This window comes from Homo sapiens, chromosome 6 (assembly GCF_000001405.40).
Source record: "Homo sapiens chromosome 6, GRCh38.p14 Primary Assembly".
NCBI classification, from domain to species: Eukaryota; Metazoa; Chordata; class Mammalia; order Primates; family Hominidae; genus Homo; species Homo sapiens.
Window position 1 is genome coordinate 44,094,945 of NC_000006.12, and position 17,585 is coordinate 44,112,529.

The 17,585-nt window shown below is 50.3% G+C and overlaps 10 annotated features.

Annotated features, from left to right (window-relative positions):
- Window positions 1,808-2,102: a silencer, noted in NCBI's record as "tiled region #9341; K562 Repressive non-DNase unmatched - State 25:Art". NCBI's record gives its function as "represses a minimal TATA promoter and a strong SV40 promoter by Sharpr-MPRA in K562 cells {active_cell/tissue: K562}" and the evidence as "EXISTENCE:reporter gene assay evidence [ECO:0000049][PMID:27701403]".
- Window positions 1,880-2,049: a silencer, noted in NCBI's record as "silent region_17249". NCBI's record gives its function as "represses an Ori minimal core promoter by ATAC-STARR-seq in GM12878 lymphoblastoid cells {active_cell/tissue: GM12878}" and the evidence as "EXISTENCE:reporter gene assay evidence [ECO:0000049][PMID:35858748]".
- Window positions 4,093-4,262: an enhancer, noted in NCBI's record as "experimental_91788 CRE fragment used in MPRA reporter constructs". NCBI's record gives its function as "activates a minimal promoter by MPRAs in K562 erythroleukemia cells, with activity observed for both the introgressed and non-introgressed 6:44066859 variant alleles {active_cell/tissue: K562}" and the evidence as "EXISTENCE:reporter gene assay evidence [ECO:0000049][PMID:34662402]".
- Window positions 5,168-5,462: a silencer, noted in NCBI's record as "tiled region #15428; K562 Repressive non-DNase unmatched - State 25:Art". NCBI's record gives its function as "represses a minimal TATA promoter and a strong SV40 promoter by Sharpr-MPRA in K562 cells {active_cell/tissue: K562}" and the evidence as "EXISTENCE:reporter gene assay evidence [ECO:0000049][PMID:27701403]".
- Window positions 7,250-7,799: an enhancer, noted in NCBI's record as "H3K4me1 hESC enhancer chr6:44069931-44070480 (GRCh37/hg19 assembly coordinates)". NCBI's record gives its function as "activates a minimal SCP1, AML or CMV promoter by ChIP-STARR-seq in naive H9 embryonic stem cells {active_cell/tissue: H9 hESC(naive)}" and the evidence as "EXISTENCE:reporter gene assay evidence [ECO:0000049][PMID:30033119]".
- Window positions 7,800-8,348: an enhancer, noted in NCBI's record as "H3K4me1 hESC enhancer chr6:44070481-44071029 (GRCh37/hg19 assembly coordinates)". NCBI's record gives its function as "activates a minimal SCP1, AML or CMV promoter by ChIP-STARR-seq in naive H9 embryonic stem cells {active_cell/tissue: H9 hESC(naive)}" and the evidence as "EXISTENCE:reporter gene assay evidence [ECO:0000049][PMID:30033119]".
- Window positions 9,451-9,620: an enhancer, noted in NCBI's record as "experimental_91802 CRE fragment used in MPRA reporter constructs". NCBI's record gives its function as "activates a minimal promoter by MPRAs in K562 erythroleukemia cells, with activity observed for the non-introgressed 6:44072217 variant allele {active_cell/tissue: K562}" and the evidence as "EXISTENCE:reporter gene assay evidence [ECO:0000049][PMID:34662402]".
- Window positions 11,463-11,632: an enhancer, noted in NCBI's record as "experimental_91811 CRE fragment used in MPRA reporter constructs". NCBI's record gives its function as "activates a minimal promoter by MPRAs in K562 erythroleukemia cells, with activity observed for the introgressed 6:44074229 variant allele {active_cell/tissue: K562}" and the evidence as "EXISTENCE:reporter gene assay evidence [ECO:0000049][PMID:34662402]".
- Window positions 12,470-12,969: an enhancer, noted in NCBI's record as "H3K4me1 hESC enhancer chr6:44075151-44075650 (GRCh37/hg19 assembly coordinates)". NCBI's record gives its function as "activates a minimal SCP1, AML or CMV promoter by ChIP-STARR-seq in primed H9 embryonic stem cells {active_cell/tissue: H9 hESC(primed)}" and the evidence as "EXISTENCE:reporter gene assay evidence [ECO:0000049][PMID:30033119]".
- Window positions 15,191-15,360: an enhancer, noted in NCBI's record as "experimental_91827 CRE fragment used in MPRA reporter constructs". NCBI's record gives its function as "activates a minimal promoter by MPRAs in K562 erythroleukemia cells, with activity observed for both the introgressed and non-introgressed 6:44077957 variant alleles {active_cell/tissue: K562}" and the evidence as "EXISTENCE:reporter gene assay evidence [ECO:0000049][PMID:34662402]".

Consider the following 17,585-nt stretch of genomic DNA (forward strand, 5'->3'; position numbering starts at 1 on the left):
AAGTGGTTTATGACAGAAGCCTGGGGTGGGGGGACACAGTTTGCCGGGGAAGTCTTCATGGAGGAACTAACTGGGTCCCTAAGAATGAGGAGGATTTTGCCAGGTGGAAAAGTGGGGAGGACGAGCGCTCAAAACAAGGAGAATAACTTGAGCAAGGCCAGGGATGTGGAACATGAGGCCTGGTGGGAGCTGAGAGGCAATGGAGTTGCTGAGAGTAGAACTGGCGGGAGATGGGCGTGGAAGGCAGGGTGGGCCAGACCAGAAGGGACCCTGAATGCCTACCAAGGATGTCTACATTGAATTTCTGGGCAACGAGGAGCCAAGGCAGGTTCTTCAACAGGCTGAGCTGTACTGTGCTTTAGAAAGATGACTGTGATGCAGGGGCCTGGAGAGGCTGGTGTGTGGGGAGGGGCAGCTAAAATAAATGGCCAGAGGCTGTAGAGAGAGGTGGGGCAGGACAGGGCCCGTCAAGCCCCAGAGGTAACCAAGACTGAGAAGGAGTTTCACTCTTGTTGCCCAGGCTGGAGTGCAATGGTGCGATCTTGGCTCACTGCAACCTCTGCCTCCCGAGTTCAAGCGATTTTCCTGCCTCAGCCTCCTGAGTAGCTGAAACTACAGGCGTGTGCCACCACACCCAGCTAATTTTTGTATTTTTAGTAGAGACAGGTTTTCACCATGTTGGCCAGCTGGTCTCGAACTCCTGATCTCAGGTGACCCACCCTCCTTAGCCTCCCAAAGTGCTAGGATTACAGGAATGAGCTACCACACCCGGCCAAGAAAGTATTTTTACAGACCCCAAGAATGGGGTGTCCAGCTGGGCGTGGTGGCTCATGCCTGTAAAATCCCAGTACTTTGGGAGGCCAAGGTTGGCGGATCACCTGAGGTCAGGAGTTCGAGACCAGCCTGGCCAGCATGGTGAAACCCTGTCTCTACTAAAAATACAAAAAATTAGCTGGGCGTGGTGGGAGGAGCCCGTAATCCCAGCTACTTGGGAGGCTGAGGCAGGAGAATCGCTTGAACCCGAGATGGCGCCATTGCACTCCAATCTGGGTGACGAGAGCGAAACTCCGTCTCAAAAAACAAAAAAAGAATGCAGTGTCCCCAGCCCCAGGCCCCGCCCTGCTTCACCCCACCTCCCTCCACAGTTTGGCCTGGGTCCATGGCTGGAGTCCCTTCCTAGCCTATAGCCCCAGGCCCTGCTGCAGTGACCCCCATCAGCCCAGGGCATTCTGTTCATGCCCCATGACTCTCATGAAGGATGAGAGCAGGGTGCTGGCTTTACAGGAGTTGGGTGAACCTCAGATACTGAGAGTGGACAACACTTACACAGCCCTGACCCGGAAAGGGGACCTGTTTTAAGTGCCTTATTTTGACTCACTTCAACCCTACAAGGTACGTACTATTACATTCCAAGGAGGGGAAACTGATGCACAGGGGACTTGCCCAAGGGATGTGAACCCTGGCAGTCTGGTGCCAGGGTCTGTCCTCCGTACTCCACCTCAAGGTAGTCATTGCTCTCTCTAGACTCTGAGTGTCTCTACCTGCTCTCCTCTCTCCTCTTTGCTTTCACAATGATCCTGCCAGATGCTCTCTTTCCTGCCAGAAGGGAGGGCTACATGTGAAAATCTGGCATCAGAGTCTCAGCCACTCCCTTCTCAGGAACCACCTGCCTGCCTGCCATAGCAGGCGGTGAAGAGCCAGCCCTGACATCAGACAGCTCCTGGAGGCAGGCAGGCCTGTCTGAACCCTCCTCCCTGCTGCAACAGAAATGGCTACCAGCCCCACTGGCCAGGCCTACAGCAGGCTGTGCCTGGCCCCCACTTGACAGGCAGCACTCACCTCTCACCTCTGCTCTGGGGGCCCAGCTGAGGCAGCACCTGCCCAGGATGTCATGGTGCCATAGTTGCACCAGCTCCAGGACCAGGGCAGCTGAACGCCCCTTTGCCCACTAGATGGCACAATGTGCACAGAAATGTGGGTTGACCGCTTGGCCACCCTTTCCACCTGCAGAGGAACTGGATTTCACCACACTCTGCATTTATCTCATTTTTATTCTCATTCCTCATCCTAACCCATAGCCAACCATTTGTATGTGTCCTTGCAAAACAAGTGCATGTATTTTTTAGTTTCACAATTAGTAATATATATATATATATATATATATATATATATAAAAAACACACACACACATTATAGATATATTTCTTAATTGTTTTCGCTCAGCACTGTATTTTTAAACCTCATTCATGTTGCTGTGAGCACATTTAGTTTCTGGTGGGCACCTTCCACATTTATTTACCCACTCTGAGGGCGACAGGCACCCAAGTTCCCTCCAACACCCCAGCAACCCTGCCATGACCGTCCTTGACAGGAACCGTTACGGCTCGGCCTGAAAACCTAAGAAGCGGAATTGCCAGGTTACAGGGCATGCAGCGACTTCATTTGGCACAGTACTGCCAGCCAGCTCTCAACCCACCCAGTTCTTGGAGGGTTCCTGGGGAAAAGACGCCCAGCCTCCTAGGACTAGTCAGCCTAGCACCCCTTCCTGTGGGGAGGGGCCCCAATCCTTTCTGCTTGGGCCCAAGGGAGATGGAGAGCCAGTGGCCTCTGTCAAGAGCGTCTTGCAAAGGTAAGACCTTAAGGTCCTACATCTCCCCTGGGCATTTTTTTTTTTAAGTAAAGGGCAATGGCTGGCCTGTTAAATCCCCCACATCCCTCTCTTCAGGAGCCTTTCTGATTACAAAGCCCATTCTTTTTCTCCCTTCTCCTCCCACAGAACTATCCCAGTTTCCTGCATTTTCCCATTTCTCTTCCTCTGCCCATCCCTTCCATGTGAACACCCTACACTTACTAGCTATGTGTCTGTGGACAAGTTACTTGGACTCTCCCTCTTTGTCTATAATATGGAAATAAGTAATATCATTACTAATAATAGGCACACAGGCATAATCCCTCCCTGGCCTCTGCACACAGCCCTCTCTCTAACTCAATGCTGCCCCACTTCCCACATATATTTAAGTAGCTCAAGCCCCTCCTCCCCCAGGAAGTCATCCCTGATTGAACCAGATACAGTCCCAATGTCCTTAATCCAACTGTCACCTACTAAGAGCTCAAGTGATTATTTTTGGCTGAAATTTGAAATAACAATAATGGCTATGATTGATACGCTGAGCACCTACTATGTGCCAAGAATTCTACGGCCTACTCCATATCCACACAAGAGCCCTGGAAGGCAGACATTGTCATCCTGACTTCTCAAATGAGGAGGCTGAGACTCAGAGAGTAAGGTGACTTGCCTGAAGTCACTGGCAGGTAATTGTCAAGGTCAGGACTGGAATACAGGCTTGTCTGATATAAAAGCTCTACCCCACACCACCTCCTTCAGAATCCCTTCCTCTTGCCCTCATTCCCCCATACACATGGTATGTGCATTGCATTTTAAAATTATTTGTGATTTTAAGTACACAAATAATAGAGGGATATAGTCTCTTTATTAAAAAATTAAAGCACTACAGAGCTGTGTCACCTTTGACCAGGAACCTTCTACCTCCCTCCTCCCCAAAGGAACTCCCACTATTAGCACTGTCTTGGGTATCATTCTTGTGCTTTTTTGCCTTTTTTTTTTTTTTTTTTTGAGACAGGGTATCTTGCTCTGGTGCCCAGGCTGGAGTGCAGGGAATGTAGTGGTGTGATATCACAGCTCACCACAACCTCTGCCTCCCAGGTTCAGGTGATCTTCATGCTCAGCCTCCCAAGTGGCTGGGATTACAGGTGCACACCACCAGGCCCAGCTAATTTTTGTATTTTTAGTAGAGACGGGGTTTCACCATGTTGGCCAGGCTGGTCTCGAACTCCTGGTCTCGAGTGACCACCCACCTCAGCCTCCCAAAGTGCTGGGATTATAGGTGTGAGCCACTGCACCCAGTCCCATAAATTTTTCTGTATTTGTAGGAAATAACGTTGTTAAGTGATTTTACATAAATAATGTGTGTGGGGCCGGGCACAGTGGTTCATGCTTGTAATCCCGGCACTTTGGGAGAACGAGGCGGGTGAATCACTTGAGACCAGGAGTTCGGGACCGGCCTGGTCAACATGGCGAAAACGCGTCTCTACTAAAAACACAAAAATTATCTGGGCATGGTGGCCTGTGATCCCAGCTATGCAGGAGGTTGAGACACCTTGAACCCGGCGTATGGAGGCAGAAGTGAGCTGAGATTGCACCACTGCACTCCAGCCTGGGTGACAGAGTGAGACCCTGTCTTAAAAAAAAAAAAAAACAAAAAACCCACAATAATGTGTGAGGTATATCACTCTTCAACAGGCTTTTTTCCATTCAACAATATGTCTTGGAGAGCTACATCTATCTATACCTACACCATCCTTTCTTGGAACAGTTGTGTGCTACTCCATGGCACACATGGACTTTGCTTATTTACCCAGGCCCCTACTGATGGCTATTCAGATTGTTTCCAATTCTATTAAAAACAGGCTGAAACGAGTATGTACAGACCTCTCTGGGCACTGTGGTATGTGCTCTGTGCAGGGCATGGACAGTCATCTCTTCTCATCTGTCACATTGTTAGCAAACACCTCTCACAGGGGTTCTCAACTTGGGAACCACTGGAGGTTTCAGGGGGACCTCAAATCCCTGAAATTGTACCCAGAGTAACCTATGTATGCCTCTGCATATATGCACTATCTGGGGAAAGGGTCCACAACCCTTAGCAAGTTTCAGGTTTTCGAAGGGCCCATAAAAGCTAAGAAGTACCGACCTGTATTAACTTTCATACCTTTATGTTCTGGCTCATATACGATGTTATGTGCTCAAAAGGACAAGCTGGGCAACATAAAGCCTCTTCTCCCCCTTGTTCTGCCAACAAGGATTCCATCTAGTGCTGAAAGAAAGGACCTCTGGAGTCAGACCCAGGCCTAAATCCTGGCTCCATCCATTACTATGCAATTTGGGGCAATTAATTAACAACCAAGCTTCAGTGTCCACAACACAAACTGAGGTGAGTAAAACCTGCTTCATAGAGTTGTTGTAAGGAGTAAACAAAATCCCTTGCGCCAAGCATCTAGCAGGCACAGTAGGTACTGCTATGCACCTGTGCCCTTGGTTTCCTTAAGTTCTGGCCAAGAGCTTTAGGCAACTGGGACCTTCTCAAGGGCAGGGACAAAGGCTCACCCAGAGTCTGCAACCCCCTTGAGCTCTGAGCCTAAATCTGTCATGGACAAATTAGGAGTGAATACACTGAGAAGAGTCCTTGTCCAGGCTCTCCAGGTCATACCACAGCAGTGCCACTAGGAGGCTGCAGGACAGGCCCTGGGACTGGAGAGACTCTGCAGGAGCAGCTCTGACTAAAATAGTGTGTGCATGCAAGTGTGCATGTGTTGTGTGCTCATATATGTTAAGTGTGTGAATGAGTATGCATGTCTGAGTATGAGCCTGTGTCTGAGTGTGTATGTGTTGGCATGTGTATGTGTGTACACGTGGGTTGGGAGAGGCAGAAACCAAAGGGAAGACAGGGTTTCCAGAGAGGCAGCAGCAGCCCTGGCTTCTCCCCTTGAGTGTCCAGGCTGCTGGAACAAATATTCCATTACCTACTGTGTGTTAAGCACTGCTCCTGTCCTTGAACTCACAGGAAGACAAAAACAAGACAGTTAGGTTCAAGCAATATTTCCAGGTGCCAGCATTGTTCTAGGCACTGGGGATACAAAAAGACACATTCCTTGCCCTCCACCAAGGTCAGACACGACACACCCCTGGAGTCGGTGGCACTTCAGTGAGTAGAGCCCTGTACAGGGCACCCAGGAAGAGCTGTGCTCAAGACCAGAAATCGTGGAGAAAGGCATAGTTGACCCTGTCCTGGGCAGCAAACCCTTTGAGAGGGGCCACATCCCCTACCCTGCCCTGCAGACTCAGACCCAAAATATCTCCAGCCACCTTCTCTCCTCCCTCACTTGGCCACCAAGCAATGCTGGACAGAACTCTTCTCTGTCGGGGGAGATCACGGGGCGTAGCGCCCTCAGTACACTGATAACCCTTTCTCCATCCTCACCTTCCCTCTGGCAGCTGGCCCCACCTTTCCCCTCCCACCCTTCCCCTCACTCCCAGTAGACAACCCCCCTTTCCCAACTAACATACAAGCTTACCTCTCTGAGCACCCAGTCCCCCCACCACGCTCAGGGAATGAGGTGCCCTTTCACTTGCTCAGATTCTCCTGCTTCCTGCTCTGCTGGGGTCTCCTTCTATCAGTCACCACTGACCCCCACCCCGACTTCCACTCACAAACAACCACCAACTATGGTGCAGTGGCACTGCAGCGCGGTTAGGCAGCCCAGCGTCACCGTTTCCCAGGCCTGGGACCTTAGACAAGTTACCCCACCTCTCTGAGCTTTGGTTCCTGTGCCTGTAGCACAGGGCGAAACCCAGTGATGCTGACAGAACCTACCTCATGAGGCCGCTGGGAAGATAAGATTATACTGGGCACATAAAATGCTTAGGACTGGGCTAGGAAGTGTTTAGTGAATGTGATCACTGCTGCTGTAAGCCCCTGACAGCACCCACAGTATCTGAAGGGCACAAAGCCTCTAGTAGATGGTCAGAAATAGAGTCCAGGGATGGCATCAAATAGTTGTTTACTTTCCCCATCAAATCAACCTTCGTCCAAGTCAGATAAGCCCCAGGGGTCCCCCCAGGGGTCTCCATGCAGAGCCTAGGCTCTCCATCAGGCAGCCTGATCCCAATTCCCTGGGTCTGGGCGTCACCGGACAGCCTTCAGGGTAAAATGCAGATCATACTAGTGGGCCTTCTCTTGATGATATTGATCTCTTAGTAACTTACTGTGCCAACATATTCTTACCAAAGACCCCCTCGAAACAAGGGGAGAACCACCTGTCTACAAGAAGAGTTGCTCAGGTGTCTCCCATCCTAAAATCCTTATGTCGACCTCCAGTTACAGCCCATCTCTCTCCTTCCCTTCTCAGCCAAGCTTCTTGCAGAAGTCACCTGCACTTCCCCCTTCTCACCCCACCACAGGCTGCCTGACCCCACTGCTTCACCAGTGATGGCCTGTAGCCACTCCACCTGTCCCTCCACAGGCCTCACTTCATCTGTTGAGGTTGACCACTTCCTCTTGGAACATCACCTCCCTGGCTTCCAGGACTCCACTTCCCCAGTCCTCCTCCCATCTCCTTGACTGTCTTCTTGACTCCCCACCCAGCTTCTTCCTGCCCACCTGCCTCCTAAACATCGGCTTCTCCAGCGCTCCACCCTGGCTTACTGCGCCTCTCTCCCCAGCCTCTCGTTGGGTGACCTCATGATTAGAAGCACCGTGCATTTCTGAAGCCTCTCAAGTCTCTCTCCCTCTATTCTCACCCCCGACCTTATGTTTGGTGTACCGTACTGTCAACAAAACACTTGCAACTAAACAAGCAGAAAAGAATTCCCTGCCTTCTCCTCTCTCCCCTCCTAAGATCCTGAACTCCATAAAGAGCCCCATCCATTCCACCAAGTCAGAGCCCTAGAAGGTACCCTCACCTCCATCCACCTCCAAACTTTCACCAGATCCTGCCTATTCCACCTCAGGGGAAGTTTATCAATTGAGTAGCCCAACAGGTTTAAGACTGCAGGTGCAGGGAGGCATGGATGCGCTTTATTTCTTGGACATGGCTCAGAGGAGGGGCAGCTCCAGAGCACAAGGGCAGGGCGAGAGGCAGCACAGGCCAGCAGGAGAGAAAGCCCTGTAGCCCAGATCACACACAGTCTCACCAGACCCCCAGCTGTGCATTGGCTGCTGCAGGCATCTCCCCTCCCTGCCTCAGCCCAGGCCTCCACCAGTCAGCAGCTGAGCTGGCCCAGCTCCCCTCCACAGGAACAGCCTGCAGCTTGCCCTGTGCTCACCCCCAACCCCCTACCCCATTCTCCTTCACTATGAAGTTCCTCTGAATACAAAGCCCACCTCTCAATAACCTATCCCAAGATAATTTGATAGTGCTAACTTGAATTTCTGAACTCCCTGCCCTGTTTCCCAGCATGGTCCTTTCTCTATGCCAAGCTACTTCTACCTACTAAATAGCTATTTTCCCTCAAATCTTTCTTAACTCCTGTCCTCCATCCCTGCCTTGCCTTACCAGAGTATTATGTTGTTTTGTTTTGTTTTCCTTTTTTTTTTTTTTTTTTTGAGACGAAGTCTTGCTCTGTCACCCAGGCTGGAGTGCAGTGGCACGATCTCAGCTCACTCAACCTCCGCCTCCCGGGTTTAAGCGATTCTCCTGTGTCAGCCTCCCGAGTAGCCGGGATTACAGGTGCATGCCACCACGCCCAGCTAATTTTCGTATTTTTGGTAGAGATAGTTTCGCCACGCTGGCCAGACTGGTCTCAAACTCCTGACCTCAGATGATCTACCCGCCTCGGCCTCCCAAAGTGCAGGAATTACAGGCGTGAGCCACCGCGCCTGGCCATCTCTTGAATTTACTGAATTCCCTGCTCCCTTCCTGGTCCTTCATACCAACCCTTTTAGAGGGGTTCTTTGCACAGCAGCTGAGTGATCTTAATAAATGTCCATCTGGGATGGGGAGCCACTGGCCAGTTAAAGCAGGGCAGTGACAGGGTTAAAGTCCCAGCACCTAGTGCAACCTATGTAGCCTTCCCTGGCCTGGCCCGTCAGCTACCTCAGCCCCACTGCAACCCTCTAGGTACCTCAAACAGCTGGCAGGTCCCGGCACATCCCACCCGGCATCACACCTCTGGTTTTGGCTGGGATGAAAGGGTATTCCCACTTCAGCCTGTCACTTGACTAACTCTGACTGTCCAGCTTCCAGGCTCTGGGCATCTCCTCAGGAAGCCTTTCTGACCCTCCTGGGTCAGTGTTGCCACAGCACATGGGCTCCTGTCACCTGCTGCAGGAGGCAGAAACTGCTCATGGATCTGTCTCCCTTCTGAGAGCTTCTCCAGGGCAAGATCCATATTTTGCCCATCTGGGCACACACAGTAAATGTTTGCATCAGTCAGCGTCCAAGCAGGCAACAAGGGGCCACTTGAATTGGGATAATGTGAGGAGAATTTAACAAAGGGACTGTTTACAAAGGTGTGGACCAGTACAGTGGGTGCTGTAGTGCCCTGACGCCAAGGCCCCAAGAGTGTAGAGCACTGCCTGAGGGGCTGTGACATATGACTGAAGAGTGTGGTCAGCCCTGCAGGAATGGGAGCCCGCTGATGCAGTCCATACAGGTCAGCCTCCTGGGGCACAGGGCAGGGTGGAAAAGGGTGAGAGGGACCCCGAGGGACAGATTAAGATGTCCAACCCAGGGCTCAACCAATGTCAATTGAACAGAACTTCACTGATGAGACACCCTGAGCAGGGTTCCACAGACCGACCACTTCTCCAAGGAGAAAACAACATTCCAGGCCAAAGATGTGCCAAGGCTCACCTGTGGGGTCAGCATGGCTTATGCCGGTGTAAAGGCAGCAACAGTACCGACAGGGTTGGAGAAGCAATGAGCAAAGTCGAGGTCTCCAAGTGGGACAAACCCCCGCCTCCAGGTTGAGAGCACCAAGTGAGCAGAGTTCCTCCGCCAGGCTGCAAGGGACTTCCTTAGCTTGGGTTTTCCAGATGAGGAACTGGGTCTGGAGGTGAGTGGTGGCCCTTTGTGGGGATGGGGAAGAACCCACACTCTTTCTTCACTTGATAACTCACTCAGCAAACATTAGGAACCCACTTGAAAATGGGTGTTAACAGCTCCAGGGTGAGCCAAGACCCAGGAAGCCCCCAGTTGGCTAAGTGCAGAGAATGAAGACTGGCCCATTTCCTTGGCAGAGTAGATGACCAAGCTGTGGAGTGACAGGAAACAGTGGTGTTAAATAAGGCCAGGAGCCAACCTCCAGCAGGAAGCACTGACCTCAGCTTGGGCCGGAAGGTGCTGACCTAAGAGGCAACTGGAAGTAACTACAAGTATCCACAATGGTCATCCAACAGATGCTTCCGGAAAACTATTTTAATAGCTGAGGGAAGGCACATTACCAAGAAATATTTCCACCACAGGTCAGTGCAGCAGAAAAAGCAGAAGAAATGTGGTCAGGTGGTCCTGACTTCAAATCTCAGCCTGCCACTTGACTACAAGTCCCTTAACTCTTCTCAGCCTGGGTTTTCTCACACATAAATCAGATACAATAATCACACGGCATCATTGTGAAGACTTGGAAGAGAATATGCAAAGTGTCCAGCACAAAACTGGCATAAAGCAAGCCCTCAATAAATTGGTTTCTCTTGTCTGTTCCTACTACCATATGCCACAGACCAAGGCTGAAAGAGATGTGGTTTCTACCTCGGTGGGCAGCCAGATTGTCGCAAGAAGTTGGCAGCATGCCAAGACCAGGTCAGAGCCCTGGATTGAAATGTGAAGTTCCAGAAGGAAAAGGAACAGCACTGCTGCTGTAGGAGAATGGACAGGACTTCGTAAAAAACAAAAATGAGGCTAGGCGCGGTGGCTCACGCCTGTAATCCTAGCACTTTGGGAGGCCAAGGCAGGTGGATCACCTGAGGTCTGGAGTTTGAGAGCAGCATGACCAACATGGAGAAACCCCGTCTCTACTAAAAATACAAAATTAGCCAGGTGTGGTGGCGCATGCCTGTAATCCCAGCTACTCGGGAGGCTGAGGCAGGGGAATCACTTGAACCCGGGAGGTGGAGGTTGTGGTGAGCCGAGATCGTGCCACTGCACTCCAGCCTGGGCAACAAGAGTGAAACTCCGTCTCCAAAAAAAAAAGAAAAGAGAAAAGTAGGACAAACCCAAAAGTGACTCCAAAGTTGTAAGATTTGTAAGGCAGGAAGGTTGCTGGTGCCACTGCTAAGACAGTCCTGAGAGGTAAGGGCAGAGGCAGAAACCAAAGCTCTGAGAAATGTGACCAGCTAAAGTGACCTGAGATGCGAGCCAGTGGCTGAGCCCAAGCTAAAGCTTTGGCCTCAACCCCCCACCCAGAGCACTGCACATGCAATCATGTGGACCAGTTCTCCCCACCTCACTCTGTGAGCCAAATGGCCCCAATCCTCCGATGGCCTTGACTGCTGGCCTCAACCCTTCAGTAAACTGCAGCCTTTCTACATTTTCCAACACCTACTCCAGCTTTAGGGCCCAAATCATGGCAATCAGCAGATAAACAGTGATCAAGTGCATATCTCCATGGATTGCAATGTGGCTTCATTCCTGTAATTCTACACCACTATTTATGAACCATTGGCTCACTATGACTCCCAGATGCTCTCTGTCCTCCTTATACACAACAGGTCCCACCTAGTCTCACCCTTAAGACTGTCAACCCTTGGGGCCAGGGAGTTCTTTGTTGTGCGGGCAGTCCTGCACATTGTAGCATGGCCAGCAGCATCCCTGGACTCTACCCACTAGATGCTGCCCCCAGTTGTGACAACCAACACTATCTCCAGACATTGCCAAATGTCCCCAGCTGAGAACCACTGCCTTATCTCTTGTACAGCCTTTTTTTTCCCCCTAAACATGAAGAGTAAAAATACGTGCCAGCTTAAGCAGTTATAGACATCATAGAATATCTTAAACTGGAGTCATAAACTGGAGTTTAATGGGGAAACAGAAAACACTGGGCATCTGGCCAGTGTGGGTGAAGCCCTTGGGATAAGGATCTATGTGGAGACAGGCAACTCTGTCCACCATGGGTCCTTGTAGACACTCCATAATGTCTTAATTTTTACCAACCCCTATACTAGATGTCTATATGCAGACTCCTAAATTGAGAATACAAATTTTAACTTTTCAGCTCTCATATTTTTGTGCATCTACTAAGCATCAGCGATAGAACTATGAACAAGACAGAGACTGCTCCTGAGCCCATGGGCTTGCCCAGTTTCAAAGTGCTGTAAGAAGTGCTATGCTGAGGACCAACAGGGCTCAGCCTGGGCCCCACAGAGGAAGGAGAACACTGGCCCAACTCTACCACTTACTTACTGTTTCCTATCTTTAAAACAGGGACACCAGCCCTACCTACTACTCAGAGTTGTCACCAAGGCCTGGAGTCACAGAAGTTCTAGGCTGGAAGAAACTTTCTAGGACTAAAAGGTGAAGGCACTGCAAACTGGAAAGTGCTGCATAGAGGTAGAGGTCTGCCAGGGGGGTTCAGAAATCACATGGATCCCAGTGAGGAAGCACCTACTCAGAAGAAAAAGCAGTGAGGTGGGCTCTGAAGCTTTCAGACCCAGTGAGGAATGCAGGGGTCGGAGAGGTTTCAGACCACAGCTCACAAACATCCTGCCTCCCTCTGACCCATCAGCACCACATACTCCAACCACCTGGTCCACATGCCTTGGGAAGTCCTGCTCCTCAGCGCAGCTGAAATTCTCTCAACTCCTCACAAGCAATGCTGCTTCCTGCCCCTCAGGCGGGACAGGTATGGCCCCATTCAAAAGTATTTTTCGGGCCAGGCATGGTGGCTCACGCCTGTAATCCCAGCATTTTGGGAGGCCAAGGTAGGCAGATCACTTGAGATCAGGAGTTTGAGACCAGCCTGACCAACATGTTGAAACCCCATCTCAGCCAGGCACGGTGGCTCACGCCTGTAATCCCAGCACTTTGGGAGGCCGAGGCGGGTGGATCACAAGGTCAGGAGATCGAGACCATCCTGGCTAACACGGTGAAACCCCGTCTCTACTAAAAAAACACAAAAAATTAGCTGGGCGTGGTGACGAGCACCTGTAGTCCCAGCTACTCAGGAGGCTGAGGCAGGAGAATGGTGTGAACCTGGGAGGCGGAGCTTGCAGTGAGCCAAGATAGTGCCACTGCACTCCAGCCTGGGCGAAAGAGCAAAACTCCATCTCAAAAAAAAAAAAAAGAAACCCCATCTCTACTAATAACACAAAAATTAGCTGGGCATGGTGGTGGGCGCCTGTAATCCCAACTACTTGGGAGGCTGAGGCAGGAGAATCACTTGAACCTGGGAGGTGGAGGTTACAGTGACCTAAGATCACGCCATTGCACTCCAGCCTGGGCAACAGAGTGAAACGGTGTCTTATGTCACAGTTAGATGCAGTGAAAAGAGCTGGACTGGGCATGAGAAAACTCAAGTTCTAGTCCCAAATCTGTTACTCTCATATGTGAAATGTGGTTGGCTCCTCAGCTCCCCAAGTCGACATGGTCATCATGAATGGTCTAAACCACAATGGTGGGAATCCACTTCAGCTTTGTTTTGAAATAAACTGTTCTGAAGCTATAGGTGAGTTAACTCCAACAAAGCCTTGCCCTCAATTATGGGGACCCAGCCTGGAGAAACAAAATCCAGAGATAACCTTGAAACCTAATTTCAGACAAGGATTTCATCCTTCTTTACCTGCAAACCTTTTACCAGACCTGGCAGTGTAACTGATGAGTTAATGCAGTTGGTTGACAGGATGCTAGTAGACACACGGACAAATGAAAGCCCTGCTCCCTGACCCATGTGTACCTGCCTCTTTGCAGACATCAGCCATGGCCAGCCAGGAAGGGCGCTGGGTTAGCCTGTGGGGATGGGGCAGCACAGCCCACTCCCTGCCTGGGAAACCCACTGGAGGCCAGGTATAGTATCCCTTGAGAAGGCCAGCACCCAAAGGTCTCTCTTTCTCTCCTCTTCCTGTGCTGGGCAGCCCCCTGAGAAGTGGTGCCAATCAACAGGGAGCTCAGTGGGGAGCAGGGAGAGCAGCTGTGATCACACACTGGATCATCAGTCAAGATCGGCCAAGAACTGTCTCTACTGAGCATGTAAACACTTGGCCTCAAATCAGTTGCCAATCAAGGTTTCATAATATCCAAAGGTATCACAATTATTCAAGAGTTCTTGTGAAACTACCAAAATAAAATAAGTTTAATTTTCATTTAAAAAATGCCTGCAGCATGTCTTATGAAACAGCCTGCCATAATATCAAGCAAATGACAACAGATTACTGTTCCCAAATCTAGCTGGGAATCACCATCTTTATACTGAAAGTTGAGAAGCAAACTCATCACCACTTTCAGCCCAGGAAGCCCAAATAATTCAGAAAATTACTAATATTTGGCAAAATAATTCAGCAAGAAGGTGTCGAAAATGCTGGAAAGAACTTAATTGTGATCCGTTACCATTCTCCCGGTGGGAAAGAATGAAACAGAAGTCCCATGATTTTAAGTATGAATTACAAAATTAGAGGAAGAAAAGACATGCAGCTGCTGGTACAGATTCGAATTTCAGTTAAGCATTTGAGTCCAGTATCATACAATTTTTGTCAAAAACAAGATTTCTCAGCCACTGAGAAAGAAAATGAAAGACCATGAGAAGAGGCCAAGAAAGGCAATGAGAGGCCCGAGCAAGGACACTGAGGAGGCTGCGCACGGGGAGGTTGGAGCGGAACGGCCTTGGGCTCCCACCTGCACAGTAGGATCTCACCCCCGGATTGACCCCGGCCCTGGCCCTCCTCCACACTCTTGACACAGGAGGAGGCACGCCTCCAGTGAATTCTGCCTCACGGTGGCTGCTGCCCTCCTAAGTGCAAGGCTGGGCTTGAGAATTTCAGGGGAGAAACTCAGTAGTGAGTGCTTCTCCTCAGCTGCAGCAGCTGGTACTTAGTGGCTCTTAATTTCCCTGCTTTCTGTGCTACTTCCCAAAGGCACACAGAAAGCGGACTGGACATCTGTGCCAGAGATGACTAGCTTCAGGAGTGCCGATGGTGGCAAGGCCTCTCTGCACATGCTTTGGTCAGGTCCCCCTCACCTCATCAACAGCCAAGAGCACATCCCTCAATGTGGCTGGTCCTTAGGAGTCACACCCACTGGCCAGAGGTCCTGAGCACCAAGCCCTCAAGCAATAAGCTCCCAACTCCTCCAGAGGCTGTGGCTAGTTAGCAGCAGGGTTCCATCTGGAACCCAGGTCTCTGACTACAGTAACTAACCTAGAGCTCTTTCCTCACATTTCTTCAGCAGTTATCTAGCAGAGGGAGTAGGATCATGAGCGGAGCTAGCCACTTCAGCAAAGAAAGTGTGATGAAGTCCATGAACCCAGAGAATAAAGCCCTTTGGCCTGTCAGGGGCAGATTCTTAAGGGCACAGAAGGGGAAAAACAACAAAAGCAAGTTTATATTCACAGGGAAACATAATCTGTGATTATAAATATTTTATGGGCAAAGAAAGCAGCACTGGCTGAGAGACTGGGGTGGAGAGGGTGGACAGCAAATTAGATTCCAGCCTGCAAAGTGATAGGGCAGCTGGAAAAGCAGCAAAGCCGAGGCTATTCTGGGCTGTGCTGCGAGGGCCTGCGTCACAGGCCCTGGCCACAGTCTTTGTTGAAACCACAGCCTTCCAGCGGTCAGCACAGAACACCTTGGGGAGAGGGTTTAAGTCCATGAAGACCAGAGGAGGGGACAGCGAGGACAGAGGAGAGTCATCTGAATGACTCTGGTGAACCTCAACAGCAGGGAGGCAGGTGAGGGGAGGCAGCACCCTGCAAGCACGTGAAAGGAAGACACTTCCTGCTGACTAAGGGCAGAGGAAGAAGTGAGGCTGACCCCAGAAAGCAAGCCACCTGAGAAGCCAGAAGGCAGCTTGGGTCAAGCTGCCCCAGTGAGAGCAAAGGTCCAGCCCTTGAGCAAGTGGTGCCAGGCTAAGAACAATTCCACCCTCCCTTTGCCTCAGGCCAGGGTTCTCTACCTCCCACAGCCTTTAGGAAGTAGCACAGAAAGCAGGGACATTCAGAACCTGCTGAGCACCAGCTCCTGCCACTGGAGAGAACCACCACTGGCAAAGCAGGCCCTGGTTTCGATGATTCCTCCTCCTTGGCCACATCCAACCACTGCAGCAGAGCATGTCCTTCCAGAGGGCCAGAAGGAAAGGATATTAGCTCCTAAAATACCCAGAGTACCTTGAATCAGGCTTAGTCAGAGGAGCCCTGGGGAGCGATGTGCTCCTCCAATGGAAGATGTAAAACTAAGAGCCTCTGCCTCATTGCAGTCAACGTTCAGTGGGCAACGGACTCCAAGGTGTGCCCACAGAACTCAGGAAAATCAGAACATCAGCCTCTAGAATCACAGCTAGTAAGAATCAGGTCAAGATGGAGTAGACTCATCAATTACGAAAGGAAGACCCAATGATGTTGTGGGAGGACCCTGGGTTGGAAGTCACAGGATCCAGCTCTGAGACCAGCTTTACCACTTCATAACTGTAGAACCTTGAGAAATCACCTCTTACCTCTGAAACTCAGTGTCCTCAGTGTTATTCCAATTTAAGAGATTTATATCCAGCTACCTACTCGACATCTCTTCAATGTCTCAAAGGCACCTCCATTCAGCTTGCCCACAACTGCTCTTCCTCCCTAATCCTCCAGCCTAGCTCCAAGTTCAACACAACCAACCATCCAGGCATAGAAGCCGGAAACCTCAGACCCATCCCTGGCCTTTCCCCATTAGTATTCCCCATTACTAACCCATTACCAAGTCAACTCCACCTCCTAAAGATGCCCACTGCCCTCCACCACCATCCTGGTCCATATTATCACCTCGCATATAGTCTATTGCAAAGCACACACTCACCCATTCTGGCCTCCCTGAGGAGCTCTCTGCAGAGCAAATCTAACCATGTCTCCCCTCCCACCAGCTTTATCCCACTTGCTAAATTACTCTCCAACAACATCCCAGTGCCCCCAGTATGAGGAAAATCTTCCGAGGGCTCGTAAGGCCCCACTCCTCTTTTGGCTTCAACCCACACCATGTTCCCTCTTGTGGCTCCAGCCACACTGGCTTTTTCTTCTAGACCTGGCATTTATCCCATTCCCTCCTGTCACAGGGTTTGTGCACATGCCCTTCCTTCTACCAGCAACATCTCCTCCTCTTCTCTCACCTAGCTAATGCCTATTCATTTATTTCACTGTGAGTGAAGTGCACTAAAGTATACAGCTCAGTAAGTATTTACAGATGTCTATCTTCATGGAACTCCCACACAGATCTAGATTTAGAACATTCCTGAGACCCAGAAGTTTCCCTCTTTCCCCTTTCCAGTCTACACCTTCCCTACCCACCAGGTAACCACTACTGACTTCTATCACTGTACCTATTCGGACTGCAGCTGATGCAATCCTTCCTCAGGGAGCTGCCTCTGATCCCATTGAAAAACTCTTAGCTCCTTTATCACAGACCCTTGCTACACTTGGGACTTTGCACTTGTTTGAGGAATTGATTCATGTTAGTTTCCCCTGGGACTCTATAAGCTCCAGGAAGGCAGGGGCCGCACCTGCTTTTACTCACCTTTGTTTTCTCAGTGCTGACCCATGCAGTCGTGACAATAGGAAATAGCTAATTCCTATTTCTAAAAGTATCTATTGAGTGTTTTGTGTTTTTTTTTTTTTTTAAAGAGACAGGTCTTGCCATGTTGCTAAGGCTGGATTCAACTCTTGGGCTCAAGTGCTCCTCCTAATTCAGCTTCCTGAGGAGCTGAGACTACAAGCATGGGCCACCATGCCCAACCTGAGTGCTTATTATTGCCAGGTTATCATTCTAAGCACTTACAGGTACAAACTCATTTAATCTTCACATCAATTCTATCAAGAAGGACCATTATTACATCCC